Here is a 17787-nt window from a genome sequence, read left to right as displayed (position 1 = left end):
GAGGTCTTCACATATTTGAATGAGTTATTAAGTTGATACAATCATTTTGGAAAAATAATTATCATTATCTACTACATTTAAACACATAATTTATGACTAGCAGTTTCAACAGAAACACCTGGATGTTCATCAGGCTAGAATGGATTGGAAAGCTCCATATTCATTCAACAGGGTGCTACACAAAACAAAAAGGAATGAATCACTGGTCCATAACATAAACAGATTTCACAAATGTAATTTTGAGTGAAATAAGCCAGAAAAAAATAAATACCATATGCTTCCATTTATATGAAGACAAAGATAGGCAATATTAATCTATGGTAACATGTGAGACTGACTTCTTTTTCTCAGCATCAGCTGAGAGCCTGAAAAATATTTTTCTGGGGTGCTAAAAAAGTGCCAGATCTTAAAAATATTTGTACAAAAGATAATAATATTTGTTTTTTATATAAATAGGTACAAAACATAAATATGTACAAAAATGTATTTATAAATATGTTAAACAAGATTACTATTTATACTTCAATATGATTTTTTTCACTTTTGTTGACATTAGTAAACCATCACACTTAATAAACAGCCATTTGGAATTGTTCTTGATTTAGGTATTTCCTTGATTAAATACCAAGTAGGAACATACCTTGATTCTAAAATATAAAGAATATTATTCCATGAAAGTTTCCATGAAAACTATTTTGCATTCTAAAATATTTTTAAAAGTACTTATTTTCAAAGTTCAGTTTCCTATTTTAAACAAAAGTTGAGCTAAATTACATATAAGCTAGTCCCCAAAATATTCAGTAAATATCAAATGAAGGTGTGAAAGTTAAAGATTTCATTTTACTAGTTAATTTGCAGTGCTATTATTTTGCTTAATAAACAATTTTATGCTAGAAATAAGCAGATTTCCCTATTCACATTATCTTTACCAAGAGAACTTAAATAAATACCATTGATTACTTGCAAAATACAGATTGTAGATTCAGAGCTCAAAACTAAACCTCTGAGGATGTAATTCAATTAAAACAACCCATAGTTGTGAATTCACCTCACCAGTGTCCCTAAGACAAGAAGCTCTTTCTCACATCAAAGTGAATTATTTTAATTCACTTTGGATGTTAGGAATATCCTAACTCCTTTGTAATTAAAAACAAAAACAAAACTTCTGATGCTTCTTTATATCTTAACAATCATGAGGTCTATAAAAATATGAACACAGAAGTTTGGGTCAGTTCAATGACTGAACTAAAACATTATTTCCCAACATGTCCATGTTTTACAAGATGATGGGGTTGTTATCGGTGATGCCATTGCAAAGATCTTGATGGTTCCAAAACACTAAGCATCACATAAGCCATGTTATAGCTGTTGCCCCAGATTTACCAAACCATTTGGATTAAAACTCTCAGTAAGGACCTCTGAAGCACAAAGATATATGAGTAACTCCTTAACCCCTTTGCTCTTACTCTTCAGGTACAAGTTCAAATTTTCACCTTTCCCTTTCTGCACTGACCTTGGGAAAGTCACTTTATCTCTGTGATCTAATTTTCCACATCAATAATGTATCTATACTTGGCATAGAGAGTTATGAGAATAAAATAATAACATATATGGGCAATTTCTGTGAATACCAATTGTATAGGTGGATTTTTAAATAATAGATTTAGGGCCGGGCGCAGTGACTCACACCTGTAATACCATCACTTTGGGAGGCCGAATCGGGTGGATCACCTGAGGTCAGGAGTTTAAGACCAGCCTGACCAACAAGGTGAAATACCGTCTCTACTAAAAATACAAAAATTAGCCAGGTGTGGTGGCGGGCACCTGTAGTCCCAGCTACTCAGGAGGGTGAGACAGGAGAATTGCTTGAACCCACAAGGCGGAGGTTGCAGTAGGCCGAGATCGCACCACTGCACTCCAGCCTGGGCGATGAAGCAAGACACCATGTAAAAAACAAACAAACAAATAAATAAATGAAATATATTTAGGAAAACTATTATAAGAAAAAATTTGAAAGCATTAAGAACTCTATTATGGACTGAACAAAAAAAGGAGAATTGGTACCATACCTTGGTAAGTTTATTTTAATAAGCCCAATTTCTATTAGTTCTTCAGTGTTTCCTCTTGCTCCGTGAATGTATGTTCCTTGCCTCTATCTTATCCCATTTTTTCTATTGTTAATGCACAGAGAGTTGTCGCAAGTTCTATTCTCAATGCCTACTGCATTGGGCAATAGATGACTCTGGTTCCCAACTCAGAAAAACCTCATTTTTAAGAAACGTTTGAGCTTTGACTTTGATCTCATTCAGAATATTTTGGTTCAAAAGTTTTTTGTTTTTTTGTTTTTTTTGAGACGGAGTCTCGCTTTGTCGCCCAGGCTGGAGTGCAATGGCGCGATCTCGGCTCACTGCAAGCTCCGCCTCTCGGGTTCACGCCATTCTCCTGCATCAGCCTCCCTAGTAGCTGGGACTGCAGGCGTCCGCCACCATGCCCGGCTAATTTTTTTTTTTGTATTTTTAGTAGAGACGGGGTTCCACCATGTTAGCCAGGATGGTCTCAAATCTCCTGATCTTGTGATCCGCCCGTCTTGGCCTCCCACAGTGCTGGGGTTACAGGTGTGAGCCACCACGCCTGGCCCAAGAGTCTTAAGTTTGTGTAAATAAGCACCTTTGAAAACTACATCTACAAATGGGAATATGGAATAAAAAGGACAAGCCAAAGGTTATGGAACAAAATAAAACATGAAGAAAGAGAAACACAATATTACTATATACAATATAGTAATATATTTTAAAATATGAAAAACGCTAGCAAAAAAAGCAATATGTAAACAAAAGAATTGGAGTAAAATAATATAATTTGAAACAGCACAATCTGCTGAAAATATACAAAAGACAAATTAGGGTATTCCTGAGCTCACTGTTTATAATATTAGAACATGTATATAAAAAGGAAAAGTGACTTTAAACTGTCTGGGGGCCAAGGAATATATAGTTTGTTACATTTTATTTACAAACAGTTTCTTTGACTAGGGAATCAATTTAAATTTTCTGTTTTGGAAATAATATAAATATATCTTTATTTTAGACTTTTTGCTGTAAAGTTTCTTAAATATTTACAACTTTAGGATAATCAGTGTACATTTCAATATATAATGTCCTAAAAATCAAACAGCTACCAAACATTGAATTGAAGTTCTGACTTATATAAATCATTTGCATAAAAACTGATCATTAAAAACAGTATCTAATGAACATTTTGGCCCCAATATTAATTAAAACTGAAATGATAGCATTACAAGCTAAAGATTAATTTCAATGACATGTCATTCAACCATTTTGACATAATTGACTTATAATAATCTAAAATTGACTATTTTTATGACATATTTGACATAAATGAAGAGAAAAAAGCTTCGACTCATTCTTAATTACTCATTCTAACCAATTGATGGCCAATAACTGAAATTAATTTCAAACCATTTTTTGTTATTTTAATCTTTTAAACATGTTTTACTTTCAGTGATTCATTTTCTAACATTCATAGCCAAAGCCCAGGCTCTACCCATCTTTGTCTACCTTAATGACTTTGTCAATTATTGGCATACACTGGGTCTTAAAAACTTGTGTTTCTTCCGAATTAATTAATGAAGTAGAATTGCTCTTATAGGGTTTCATATACCATTACCTCCAAAAGAGTACATTAGAAGTATTAGAAAATACTGATATTTATAAACAGATATTTATCTTATGATACAAAGAGCCAGAGCTGTTTTATTTTCTGTAAAACTAAGAATAACTTCTTGATAACATAGCTTCACAAAAAGAAAACCCAACACATTTCCATAAATAATTCTCTGAAATAACTATGTGAGTTTGTGTCTTTTTATATACATGTAGATATACATATACTTACACATCTATACATATATATGTAACATAAAGGATATGAACATTAGGACTGTTTAAATGTCTATTTGTCTTGGAAAGAAAAATATACTTAAAAATATTTCTCAATTGGGATTTGTAATCGTACCAACTTAATTGATAAACTTGGCAACTGCTTTTATGTTCCGTCTCCTTCCATAAATTTTTCAAAACACTAATTCAACAAAGAAAAAGCTCTAATTTTCATTGGAAATAATTTATATACTTGTTTAGAGCAGAGAAAAATTAAGAAAAACTTTGAAATTGTCTCAAAAAATTGCTAAATATTTTCAATGGAAAACTAAATGTTAGTTTAGCTGATTGTATGGGGTTTCTGAACCTTTCACTTTTTGTTTGTTTTACCTATTTCACAACTGTGTAAATTGCAAATAATTCCTGTCCATGAAAATGCAAATTATCCAGTGTAGATATATTTGACCATCACCCTATGGATATTGGCTAGTTTTGCCTTTATTAAGCAAATTCATTTCAGCATGAATGTCTGCCTATATATTCTCTTTGTATTCTCCTTTGAACCAGTTAAAACATCCTGTGGCACTCTTATTTATTAATCAGTTAAATAAAATCATGAACATATATTCATTTTACATTTGTATGAGAACCATTATTTTTCTTTTCTTTAAAAAAATTAATTATCCTTTGACATTGGGTTGACATTTTCTTAAGACATGCCATAAAGAGAGGGTATCAAGTTTCTCAATGTCAGTTCTAGAGGAAAAAAAATTCTTTATAAAAATTTAACCTCATGTGTAACAGTTTCCATTCCCATAGCAATGACATTTGATATACATTGTATATATTAATCTGGGAATGATGTAAGATTCCAAGTATAATTTTATCAGTGAACTCAACTACTTGATTACTTTCACTTATTTAAATATCTAGTTCAATGTTGTCCAGTGGCATTGTGGATTTAGGTAATTTTACCAGGCAGCCGTTCAATTTCTGCACTTTCTGTTTGCCCATGCAGAACACAACACATTTTATAAGTCAAAGTATAGGCATCTGGTGGCATAATTTTAATTTGTTATCAAATAAAAGCCTCATCAAATTAGTCTAGAAAATAACTCATTATTTATTTTAGGACTGTATCACTATGTAATGAGATACAAATATATGTAAATGTAAGTGCCTAAGAGGCATGCAGAGAGCCTAAGATGTATGCAGTATGCCTAACAGGAATGCAGAGAGCTTCATTTCCATTGTCAGCTGCTCAGTTGTTTCTCAGGAAAGAAATGTGGCCAACGGACACCATTTAAGAGATATATAGCAACAAGTTCAGAAAATTCTCATAAATGGGAGTGGCTAATGCATAGACAATAGCATTGACCTTTGATCCATATATATATATATATATATATATATATATATATATATGTATATATATAGTACCTCAAATACATTTGGATCAATTTAATTGTGAGTGCTATAAACTACAAATGAAAGTAAAAAAGCAAATCTGTTGATATTTTAGAAGAATGAAAGATTATTAACTCATGGCCTGTATGTATTTGGAATGAGAAGGATGTACATAGCTTTCTTTGGATGGGTGGAATTGAAATTGTGATTTACAGTGACTAAAACCTGACTGCTTTCACAATTTTTTTCACTGTTGGGGGTGAAATTCTTGATTGATTTGTGCATTGGGAACTTTTTTTTTTTTTTTTGGAGACAGAGTCTCGCTTTGTAGCCAAGGCTAGAGTGCAGTGGCGGGATCTCGGCTCACTGCAAACTCCATCTTCTGGGTTCACACCATCCTCCTGCCTCAGCCTCCCAAGTAGCTGGGACTACAGGCGGGCGCCACCACGCCTGGCAAATTTTTTGTATTTTTAGTAGAGACGGGGTTTCACCGTGTTAGCCAGGATGGCCAGGATGGTCTCAACCTCCTGACCCTGTGATCCACCTGCCTTGGCCTTCCAAAGTGCTGGGATTACAGGCATGAGCTACCATGCCCCACCTTTTTTTTTCCTTTTCTTTTTTTTTTCTTTCTTTCTTTTTTTTTTTTTGTTAGTCCTTCCCTCCAGTGTCATGGAGATAATTGGAAAATGTTTTAGAGCAAAAAAGTTTATTTCTCCTTCTTGTTGTTAGCAAAGAAATTTATTTTTCCTTCTTGTTATTTATTGGCCTTGGAGACATACACCAAATAGCTCATTCTACTTCTGAAATTTTGTTTTGATTTCCCTGGCCCTCCCCATGAAGTATTTCAGATTAGCAGGGAGTCAAGCATTGTCTGTCTATCTGTGAATAAAATATTTCAGGCTGCTTTTGCATAATATACATGCTCTTGCCTTTACAAGTCACACTCACATCTGGTTTTGTAAAACACCAGGTAAAGAAGAAAACAATGTTTCTGAATTCTGCTTTATCAGCCCAGTAGAGAACTCCTCCCTTCCCTAAACTGAGGGCCACATCTAAGGGGTTGAAACAGGGCCAGTTACATTCTATGTTCCCAACATAATTGTCCGTGCACGGATCCAATCAAGTTAAATGAGAAATAGGATATTTATTCTAAAAACAAGTTATTGCTACAATAATAATAATAATACTATAGTAATATTATTATTCTAATAATGATATTAGAATAAAAACTGGTTATTAAAGTACTAAACAGTTGAAAATCTAAATGTCTCACAAGGTCAACTACAGCAAGTATGTAAGATTTAGTATTAGTCACACGTCAAAAATTATATCCATAAAAGTAATGACATATGAAAACAGTTTATTGATACAGATATAACAAATGTAACTAAACTGTGCTGAAATGTATTTTAAAATAAAATATGCCAAAATATTATTGATGATGACTTTGGATGATGGTATTACTACTAAGGTTTCAAATTTAATTTGCTTCTTACTTCTGAGTACTTTTATAAATTTTTAAATAATAAAATTAGTGTGTTAAAAATATCAAGTGATATCTAGAAATCAGAAAAAGGCATATTGCCAGAGGAGGACCGAGTTAGTAGATTTGAGGCTCCATTAAGTTTTGTTTATGATCAAAAACCAAACAAAAACCAGGCAACAGTGGCAAAAAATATCTCACTCCCTTCCTGGAAAAGTAAATGAAACTACAAAGAATTTCCAAACTTAAAAACTATACATTTCAAGTCTGTTCATAACTAGTGAAGTCACAGTTTCTGAAAACAATGATAAAATTTTAATTGATATTTAATTCATATTTTTTGTTTAAAAAACTATCAGTATTGGAAGATAAATTTCATGGGAAAAGCATTGAATCATTAAGTTTTGCAGTCACAAAGGTAAATATAATTTGCTTAATGCTGCCCTCAGCTTACAATGAGTCTTTAGTATTTTCTAAGCTATGAGTTCACCAAAATATAGGATTGTTTTGCTGCGTATAATTTGCTCAGTGATCAAACACAAAGGAGTTACCTATGTTAAGATGTGAATAATAAATTTATGGAAAATTTATGAAAGTGTACATTGGAAAGACAATAAAACTTTCCATTAAATTGGTGGAAAAGGAGCTCAAAACCTAGCTGGGTGATTCATTATTTTAATGACTTCCTGCTTTACTGCAAAACCTCTCTCTTCATTCGGTGTTGGTAGTTTGAGCCCCTGTTAAGGATATAGGCTCACAGTGAAGCTTCTATAAATTTCTGGACCTCTGTCATGCTGGCATGTATATCATTCTCCTTTAGGAATGATGAGGAGACTGGAAAGCGGTTGCTCCAAGGGAAGGGATAATTTTGCAAACCTGAGCTGTCTAAGCTCAGCATGAATTGGAGTGGGCTGCTGACTCAGGCTAGCAGAGGCAGCCAGGAAACATGCAAATCTGCAATCCGTTCTGCCAGGTCTGTCCCAGCAGGTGTCACTGAAGGCACCTCTGTGTGCTTGTCACTGTGGCAGCCTTGACAAGGAAGGTGGAAAGGAAAAAGAGACCCAGTGCTGAACTCCAAGCAGAGATGGGGCTTTTCTGTATGCATATTTTCCCTCCCCTCCCAGCCTGCATTTCCAATAACATATTGATTTATATTTGTATTATGAAACAAAAGTGGTTGTAATCAGATGTTCTTTCCTTTTACACACAATGTTAGCTCCTATTTACATTCCTAACTGAACAATGTCTAAAGAGGTACTTAAACTGATGTAAAACGCAGATAATCTCATGACCAAATGCTTAGCGCAAGAAAAAACTTCAATTTGCAAGAGAAGTCCCTCCAAATACAGAAAGGACCAGTATTGTAAGAGGTACCTTAACTAAAATGTGGCAATGGAAGGAGCAGAGCAGGAAGAACTTTTAAGTCTGAAACTTACAACAAGTCAATTTCATAGTCAGTTTCTCTGGTCCTTCCACAACAGCCTCCGGCACCTGTTTTCTCTACAATGGAGGTAACAATAGTAGCTATTTCAGAGCAGGAAAAGGCTTAGAGCAGTGCTAGAATATGGTCGTGGCTATATAAAGTTTAGCTATTTATATATTGTAAGAAACCTACAATGTGTTCTTTTATCGGTAGTCAGTAATGGATTTCTTGTGGGAAAGTAGCAGCCTCCTATGGGGGGAACACCTGCAGTTCCCACTAAGTGAACACTGGTGTCTGCTAACCTTTGCCTCTATTTGTCGCAATAATATACTGTCAAGCTGTTCCTTGAGTTAGCAATTTTATTTACATTCTTTTTCTTTTTTTTTCCTTTCCCTTTTCCTGCCACAGAGTCCCGCTCTGTCGCCCAGTCTGGAGTGCAGCAGCGCCATCATAGCTCACTGCCACCTAGAAGCTGGGGTGAAGCAATCCTCCTCCATCAGCCTTCAGAGTAGCTGGGACTACCTGCGCGGCCCACCACACCCGGCTAATCTTTGTGGTTTTTGTTTTGTTTTTCTGTTCTGGGTTTCCGCCGGGCGCAGTGGCTCAGGCCTGCAATCCCAGCACTTTGGAAGGCAGAGGTGGGCGGATCACCCGAGGTCGGAGACCAGCCTGACAAACATGAAGAAATCCCGTCTCTACTAAAAAAAAAAAAAAAAAAAAAAAAAAATCTACAAAATTAGCCGGATATGGTGTCTCATGCCTGTAATCCCAGCTACTAGGGAGGCCTATGCAGGAGAATCACCTAAATCCGGGAGGCCGAGGTTGCGGTGAGCAAAGATCACACCATTGCACTCCAGCCTGGACAACAAGAGTGAAACTCCGTCTCAAAACAGAGACCGGGTTTCACCATGTTGCCCAGGCGGTCTGGAACTCCTAGGCTCAAGCGATCTGCCGCACTCTGCCTTCCAAAGTCCTGGGATCACAAGGGGGAGGCACCACGCCAGGCCGATCTATTCCTTTCTGGTTACTAAATTGGACCGGGGGCGCGGTGGCTCATGCCTGCAATCCCAGCACCCAGGGAGGCGGAGGCGGGCGGATCACCCGAGGTCAGGAGCTCGAGATCAGCCCAACCAACACGGAGAAACCCCGTCTGTACCAAAAAAATAAAACCAAAATTAGCTGGCATGGTGGCTTATGCCTGCAATCCCAACCACTCAGGAGGCTGAGGCAGGAGAACCACCTAAACCCAGGAGGTGGAGGCCGCGGTGAGTCGAGACCACGCCACTGCACTCCAGCCTGGAAAACGAGCAAAACTCCACTAAAAAAAAAAAAAAAAAAAAAAAAAAAGACAGTGTTTCACCACGTTGCCCAGGCCGGTCTGGAAGTCCTAGGCTCAATCGATCGCTGCTCTCGGCCGTCCAAAGTACTGGGATCACAAGCATGAGCTACCACGCCAGGCCGATCTATTCCTTTCTGATTAATAAATTGGACTGGGTGTGGTGGCTCACGCCTGCAATCCCAGCACCCCGGGAGGCGAGGCGGGCGAATCACCTGAGGTCCACAGTTTGAGACCAGCCTGACCAAAAGTGAGAAACCCCGTCTCTTAAAAAAAAAAAAAAAAAAAGCCGGGCATGGTGGCTCACGCCTGCAATCCCAGCACCCAGGGAGGTGGAGGCAGGTGGATCACCCAAGGTCAGGTGCTTGAGATCAGCCCGACCAACACGGAGAAACCCCGTCTGTACAAAAAAAAAAAACACCAAAATTAGCTGGCATGGTGGCTCATGCCTGCAATCCCAGCCACTCAGGAGGCTTAGGCAGGAGAACCACCTAACCGGGAGGTGGAGGCCGCGGTGAGTCGAGACCGTGCCACTGCACTCCAGCCTGGAAAACAAGAGCGAAACTCCACTCAAAAAAAAAAAAAAAAAAAAAAAAAAAAGACCATGTTTCACCATGTTGTCCAGGCTGGTCTGGAACTCCTAGGCTCAAGTGATCCGCTGCGCTCGGCCGTCCAAAATCCTGGGATCACAAGGGTGAGCCACCACGCCAGGCCGATCTATTCCTTTCTGATTAATAAATTGCGCCGGGCACGGCGGCTGACGCCTGCAATCCCAGCACCCCCGGGAGGCTGAGGTGGGTGGATAACCTGAGGTCGGGAGTTTGAGACTAGCCTGACCAATATGGAGAAAACTGTCTCCACCAAAAAAAAAAAAAAAATTAGCCAGGCATGGTGGCTCACTCCTGCAATCCCAGCCACTTGGGAGGCTGAGGCGGGAGGATCACTTAAAACCGGGAGGTGGAGGTTGCGGTGAGCCGTCATTGCACTCCAGCCTGGGCACCAAGAGCGAAACTCTATCTGAAAAACAAACAAACAACAACAAAAAAACAGGTTTCACCATGTTGCCCAGGCAGGTCTGGAACTCCCAGTCTCAAGCGATCTGCCTCGCTCCTGGGATTACACTGTGAGGGTAAATTTTATGTGCCATCTTGACTGGGCCACAGGGTGCTCGGATTAAACATTGTTTCTGGGTGTGTTTGTGAGTGTTTCCAGGTGACTTTAGCTTTTGAGTCAGTGAATTCAGTAACGTAGATGGCCCCATGGAGATGGACATCATCCAACCTGGTGAGGGCTTGAGTAGAACAAAGGGAGGAAGGGGAAATTTGCCCCCTTTCTTTCTGCCTCTTTGCTTGTGCTGGGACATCTCATCTTCTGTCCTGGGACTGGGATGTACACCATCAGCTCTCCTGGTTCTCAGGCCTTCTGACTTGGACAGAATTAAATCACCAATTTTTCTGAGTGTTCCAGCTTCCAGATGGCACATTCTTTGCCTTCATAATAATGTAAGCCATGACCCCATAATAAATCTCTTTTTAAGAAAATGTGGGACATATATATCATGGAATACTATGAAGCTATAAAAAGGAACAAAATCATGTCCTTTTCAGCAACATGGATGCAGTTGGAGGCCATAATCCTCAGGAAACTAACACAGAGACAGAAAACCAAATACTGCATGTTCTCACTTATAAGTGGGAGCTAATAATTAAGTCCTAATTCCTAGAACCTGTAGATGTTACCTCATTTGGAAAAAGCATATTTTCAGGTATGATTAAGTTAAGGATCTTGAGGAGAGATTATCCTGGATTGTCTCCGTGGGCATTAAATCCTGGCACATATATCCTTATAAGAGGGAGATAAAGGAGATTTAACTTCAGACAGAAGAGAAGGAGGCCCTGTGACCAAGGAGGCAGAGCCTGGAGTGGTGGAGCTGCAAGACAATGAATGCCAGCAGCCATCAGAAGCTGCGAAAGTCAAAGGATGGATTTTCCCCTCAGCCTCTGAGAGCACTGGCTCTGCTGATACCTAGATTTCAGCCCAGTGATACTGATTTTGGACTCCTGATATCCAAAACTGTGAGAAAATAAATTTCTGTTGTTTTAAGTCACCAAATTTTTGGTAATTTGCTCTAACAGCCACAGGAAACTAACATACATGCCTACCTGGGTCCAGTTGTGTCCTGTGACTCCTGCTTTCCTGGGACAGGCAGGCTGCTCCATGCCTCCTGGCCATCCTACTGAGTGCTGGACGCTGTAGGCTGCTCCATGCATGCCGGTCATCCTCCTGGGTGCTGGATGCTGCAGGCTGCTCCATGCCTGTTGGCCATTCCCTTTGGTGCTGGACAGCACTCGCGTTGTGAAATCCACTGGCCCTGTGAAAAACACCTGGAAATGTTACCAGGAGAGGGGTTAGTTCTCTTTTTGGCAACCCATGTTATTGCTTATGGCTTAATATCTGTGCCTCCAAGATCCCTTCTCTCTGCCTTCATCGATGCCAGGAAAGCAGTCACCTTTTGCCTTTCTTTGCTTCTCAGCAAGTGGCATGTCTCCATGTCACTTTAAGCATCAAGCACACGGAGCCCAATAAGATGCTGAAAAGTGTCTGCCTACAAGGTTACAAGGTGGTGGAGACATTCTGAGCCGGTAACTGCAGGGCTCAGTAAAACCGCTACAGGAAATCTCAAGTTCAAAATGCTGAAGTGAAAAATGGGTGATCACAACGAAGGGAAACACAAACCCCTTCTTTTAAAAACATTATGGTGATAAGGCACAACATAAAATTTACCATATTAACCACTTGTAAGTATACAGTGCAGTAGTGTTAAAAATATACATGTTGAGTAACGAGTTTCTAGAACTTGCTTCTCTTGGAGAACTGAAACTATAGCCACTATACAACAACTCCCCATTTCTCTATCCCCTGGCTTATGGAAACAACCGCTCTATTTTCTGTTTCTATGAGTTTGACTAATTTCAAACCTAATGTAAGAGAAATCGTACAGCATTTGTCTTTGTGTGATGGGCTGATTTCAATTAGTGTAATGTTTTCAAGGTTCATCTATATTGCAGCATGTGACAGGGCTTCTTTCTTTTTTAAGGCTGATAATTTTATAGTATTCCGTTGCATGGATAGACCACATTTATTTATTTATTTATTTATTTATTTATTTATTGAGACAATCTCACTCTGTTGCCCAGGCTGGAGTGCGGTGGCATGATCATGGCTCACTGCAGTCTGAATCTCACATTCTCAAGCGATCCTGCCGCCTCAGCCTCCTGAGTAGCTGGGACTACAGGCACATGACACCATGCCTGGATATTCATCTTTCTGTGTAACTGGTTGAGAAACAGGGGAGTAACAGTGAAGAAACGGTCTTAGAATAAATCTGGTGACAGCAGAAGAGAATATGAGACAGATTGTGCTCACAGAGCCTTGAAGAGTGTGACAGTATTTGAGGGCCACGCTGTTGTCTTAGAGTGAAGTGAGGAGAACCTACACTGGTTTGGTAGTCATGGGAATGGAAGGAGGAAAGAAATGTGAAAGCTCATCGGTGGCAGAGTCAAAATGGCTTGGTCTTTGTAGTCAATGCTTAGGTGAGAAGGAGGAATTACTGGCTGACTTAGAAGAAGTAAAAAATGTGAAATACCGATAAAACACAAATCTCGCGATTTTAGTCAGCGTACAGACTAACCATTGTGTGATTCTAGATATATTATTAAGCAGTTTTGTTCCAGTATTTTATATCCCATATCTTCTAGCTATGACCCTATTTCTTTGTTTCTTGACATAGACAAACATTTTTTAAACTAAGAGCTTTATTGTGATACAGTTTTTGTATGATAAGCCTCACCCTTCAAGTGTACAGTTCAGTGGTTTTTAGTATATTCAGAGTTATGCAGCCATTACCACTCCCTAATTTCAGAACATTTTCATCTCCCCAAAAAGAACCCCGTACCCACTAGCAGTCACTCCCTGTACCTCTCTCCCCCACCATTGATCCTGGCAACCTCTGATCTAACTTCTATCTCTGTAGATTTGCCTATCCTGGGCATTTCATATAAATAGAATCATACAAAAGTGGCATTTTGTGACTGATTTTTCTTTACAGTGATTATAAATCAAATGCCTGAAGACGCTAAGCTTAGGATAGTGTTTGCTGTACAACTTTGATAACTGAACTTTTGTAAAGCTGAAAATGTGACTGTGTCTGTATATGTGGCATATTATCCTTAGATGATCCTTACTTCGATTATTAAGAATTTTTTCCCCTAGTAATCTTCAACTGTCTCAATATTCAGCAGGAACCCCTTGGAGACAAAGATCAGTATGAATTTGGAACACCTATTGACAAAATGAATGTAATTTAATTTAGTACAGTAGTAAAGTCAACCACTTTTAGGTGTTGATGCTGCTGAAAGTGTATATTAAGGAAAAGTTTACTTACCCTACTTTTTGTGGAGGTGCTAGAACTACTTCTGTCTTGTGTTTAGATTTCAACAGACCTTTGCATGGGCATTATGTGGTTGCACAAATGTACTTCGTTTTGACCTGAAAATGCAAAAACTTCCTTTCTTCCCACTTTCTGAGACTCTGCAACCTTAAAGGAAGAGTGGGGTTCTTTAAAGGAAAGGTGGTGGTGGTTGGGTCATGGGTAACAATGTCTACTGTGTACTTCCTTTCCCAAAACAAGTCCCTGTCTACCGTCAGCATTTCGAAAATTTGAAGATCAAGTGTGGTGTTAACTCATGAACTAATGACTAGACTTTGAGCGGTTGTGGCAGCAAAATCTCAGTGAGTGCCTGGATGTTCTAATTCTGTTAAGTCAGTGAGTGCATATTCTGTACAATACTCTCTTAGCCCAGTGGCAGGTTTAAGGAGTGGGAGAGAGATTTCTATGTTTCGGAAATCAAATACACAAAGAATAAAAATTTTTAATCCCATGATTCTTTGCCCGAGTTTAATTTTTTGGAGAGTTTTTCTTTTAGATTTTCTTTCCCTTCCATTAAACTTTTACTTAGAAAGGTCCCAGGGTTTGGGCAAAGCAAGTGGGAAAGATACTTGCTTGGATTCTCCAGGATAAGGGATTGAAGAGGACTTCTTTCCCTCATTTTATTATTGAATAATGTCACAATAACAATTATTAAGGTGAATAGTCTACAGTGGAAGTTTTTAGATGCCTTGTCTGCAAAATAATTTGGTTTAGTCAACCCAGGGATGCCTTTGGTTAGCTGGAATGGGAGATGTGCAGGTTAGAGTGGTCTTGGCAAGTCTTCCAGGGGGAAATACAGCATTTGGAAGGGTAGGAAGCAGAAGGAATCTCAGGCAAGGGAAAGGCGTGGGCAGAGCCCCGGAGGACAGAACAGGTTGTGGTGGACTTGGTGTCCACATAGACCTAATTAGTGGTCTTAGCTTTTGTGTTTTCAAAATTACCACAGTTTGTGTTCTAAAACTGTCATTCTCTTGATTTTATTTTAGACATACTATCTGTGTATTTTGAAATTTAAAATAACAGTAAAGGAGAAACGAATTTATTTTGTTTGAGAAAGAGTTAAAAGGTTAAAACATCTTGATCTTAATAATTTTCTAAAGGGAGATTTGGTACACCCCCAGAAGTTGTCTTTGGTTCAGAGAATAGTCTTCAGATCTAGAAAGGACTTGAGAAGTCCCAGAGAGGTGCTGCATGGTCTGAACCATTTGATTCTCACGACAGAATGGATAAAAACAATTTGAACCAGGAAACCATGCAGATGTTCATATTTTGGATAGGGTAAGGTCAGTGCCGTCGTCAGAGGAAAAACTCTCGGCCATCACAGGATGGGAGAGAAAGTTTGAGTTGTGAAGAATACTCAAATGCCGTTTAAGGAAACGGGTTCTTCTGCACCTATTCTTTGGAATATTTAGGGCTAAGTTCTTAGTTTTTGACATCATAAAAATGTCAAAGTATTCTGTTCTAAGAGCCATTTCAAACAACTGACTAGAATTTCAGAGCAATTACATGAGAGTAATACCATTAAAATGTTTAAATTACCCATAGTCCTATATCCCTAACAAGTATGTTCACGCTTGCATGTCCTCTTCTCATCTTTACTGTGTGCATACTTAGTAATGGCACGTAGACATTGTTTAAGCAGGAATAATTCTCGAGATAATTTTGTATGTTTCCTTTTTTCTTTTTAAGGTAGGTATTGGGTGGAGGAGCATTATATTTGCAACTTCTCGCAAAACACGTGATTATTTTCTTATAATATTCAATTTTCACCCTCAATACAGTGTTTTGATTATGTAATTTAGATAGAAAGTAGAAGGTTCTCTTAGAGAAATTTTAGTGTTTTTTTTTCATAGCTCCTACTTTCAAGAATGAAAAAGGTAAACCAGTAAAATGACACTGTACTTGGTGCTGAATCTATGCCGGGATAGGCATTAAGAGTGACCTTTATTTAAGGTTCTAATTTGCTCATGTTGGGCACTTAGAACGTCAGTTTGTTGCTTTTTGTGAGATTCTGGAAATGGTCCAATTTTACTTTTTCCCCTTGACTCCAGACTTTTTAACACTGATGTGCTGCTGTTGAGGCATATGCCGTTTTGTTAGGCCTCCTCAAGTGGGAGTCAGGAATGCTGCTGTGTTCCAGAGAGGTTTTGTTCTTCCTGTAGGGCTGAAGCAGTGCCTACTCAATAGAACCAGTCATCGTGCAAAGAAATGCCACCTGACTCAAAGGCAAAGCCAGAGTGCAGCTTGGAGCAAAGAAGGTATTTTATTAAGAATTTTACATAAACCATAAGATATATTTTATATTACTTTGCGAGCCTTCTTCCTGTCTTGACTTAATTCTTTTTGAGAGAATTCATTTCATTTTCATTTGGTTTGTTTTCTTCTTGTTACAAAGATGATGTATAGAAAATATAGAAGTATAAGAAAATTAAAGATACTAACTGATAATTGCTTAATGATTTAGTATCTGCTTGTTTAGTCTTTGTTATATTTACAGTAGGCAAACATGTCTACCGTTGTAAATTTATTACTGGTATGTATACCCTAGTAAGTTAAAAGTTATATGTACTTTGAAGTTTTGCAAAATTGAGTTCATATTATAGAATTAATTCCTGATGAACTTTTATGTGCTAGGCACTGGTCTTTTTATTTAATTATTTATTTTTACTTTTTTTTCCTCTGTGCCTATGCTTACCAAGTCTTTTTATTTTTTACTTTTTATTAACTCTTTTAATCCTCTGAATAAATTGAAAAGAGGGTATTATTAATATCTGCATTTTGTAGATGAGGTAACTGAAGGTAGGTAACTTGTCCAAGGTCACAGGTGGCAGAGCAAGGATTAAAACTAGACAGTCTGGCTGCCCAAGGCCCAACGAAGAGGAGCTGAGAGCAAGCCACCGGGCAGAAGGATGTTGGTCAGGCTGGTTTCCTGTTCAGTTAACATGAAACACAGGCTTAACCTTAATTCTAGGACGTTACCGAGAAAGCCTTCCAAAGCCATAGGTTTTTTACCATGACCATGACTTTTTTTTTTTTTTTTTGAGACAGAGTTTCACTGTGTAGCCCAGGCTGGAGTGCAGTGGCGCGATCTCGGTTCACTGCAGCCTACCTCTCTTGACAGTCCACTGGTTAAAGTGATTCTCCTGCCTCAGCCTCCCGAGTAGCTGAAATTACAGGCACTGGCCACCACGCCTGGCTAGCTTTTGTGTTTTTAGTAGAGACGGGGTTTCACCGTGTTGGCCAGGCTGGTCTTGAACTCCTGACCTCAAATGACCCACCTCTGCCTCCCAAAATGCTGGGATTCCAGGCGTGAGCCACCGTGCCAGGACCTAAGGCCCTTAAGTTTTAACGTCTCATTCTTCAGTCAGGTTTTCCTTGTTCCTGCGTGTTCAGCCATTTGTTTTTAAGTTTGTGTTGAAGGAGAAACTAACAATGAAAATGGACTTGTTGACGGAAGAAAAGTAGGAATGCAGCCTCTGGTGCTGTTTGAGTGATCCCTCTGCCCCAGGCCTGGCTGTGCGCTGCTGTGTTCTGGAAAGGCGCATTGTGCCCTCGCTGTGGCAGGTAAGAGTCCTGTACAGGTGCTCTGCCCACTTTACCTTTCAGGCTTCTGTATCAGCTGTTTTTCCCTTGTAGAATGTGCCCCTGACCTGTGCCCCTGACTTCCACCCCTTAACCCTGCCCAATACATCTTTAGATGTCTGACCATCAAGACTCTTCTGGGTCATATTCAGTTCATGCTGATATTTT

The sequence above is a fragment of the Homo sapiens genome, chromosome 15 (genome assembly GCF_000001405.40).
Source record: "Homo sapiens chromosome 15, GRCh38.p14 Primary Assembly".
Classification (NCBI taxonomy): domain Eukaryota; kingdom Metazoa; phylum Chordata; class Mammalia; order Primates; family Hominidae; genus Homo; species Homo sapiens.
This window is presented reverse-complemented; position numbering follows the sequence as displayed.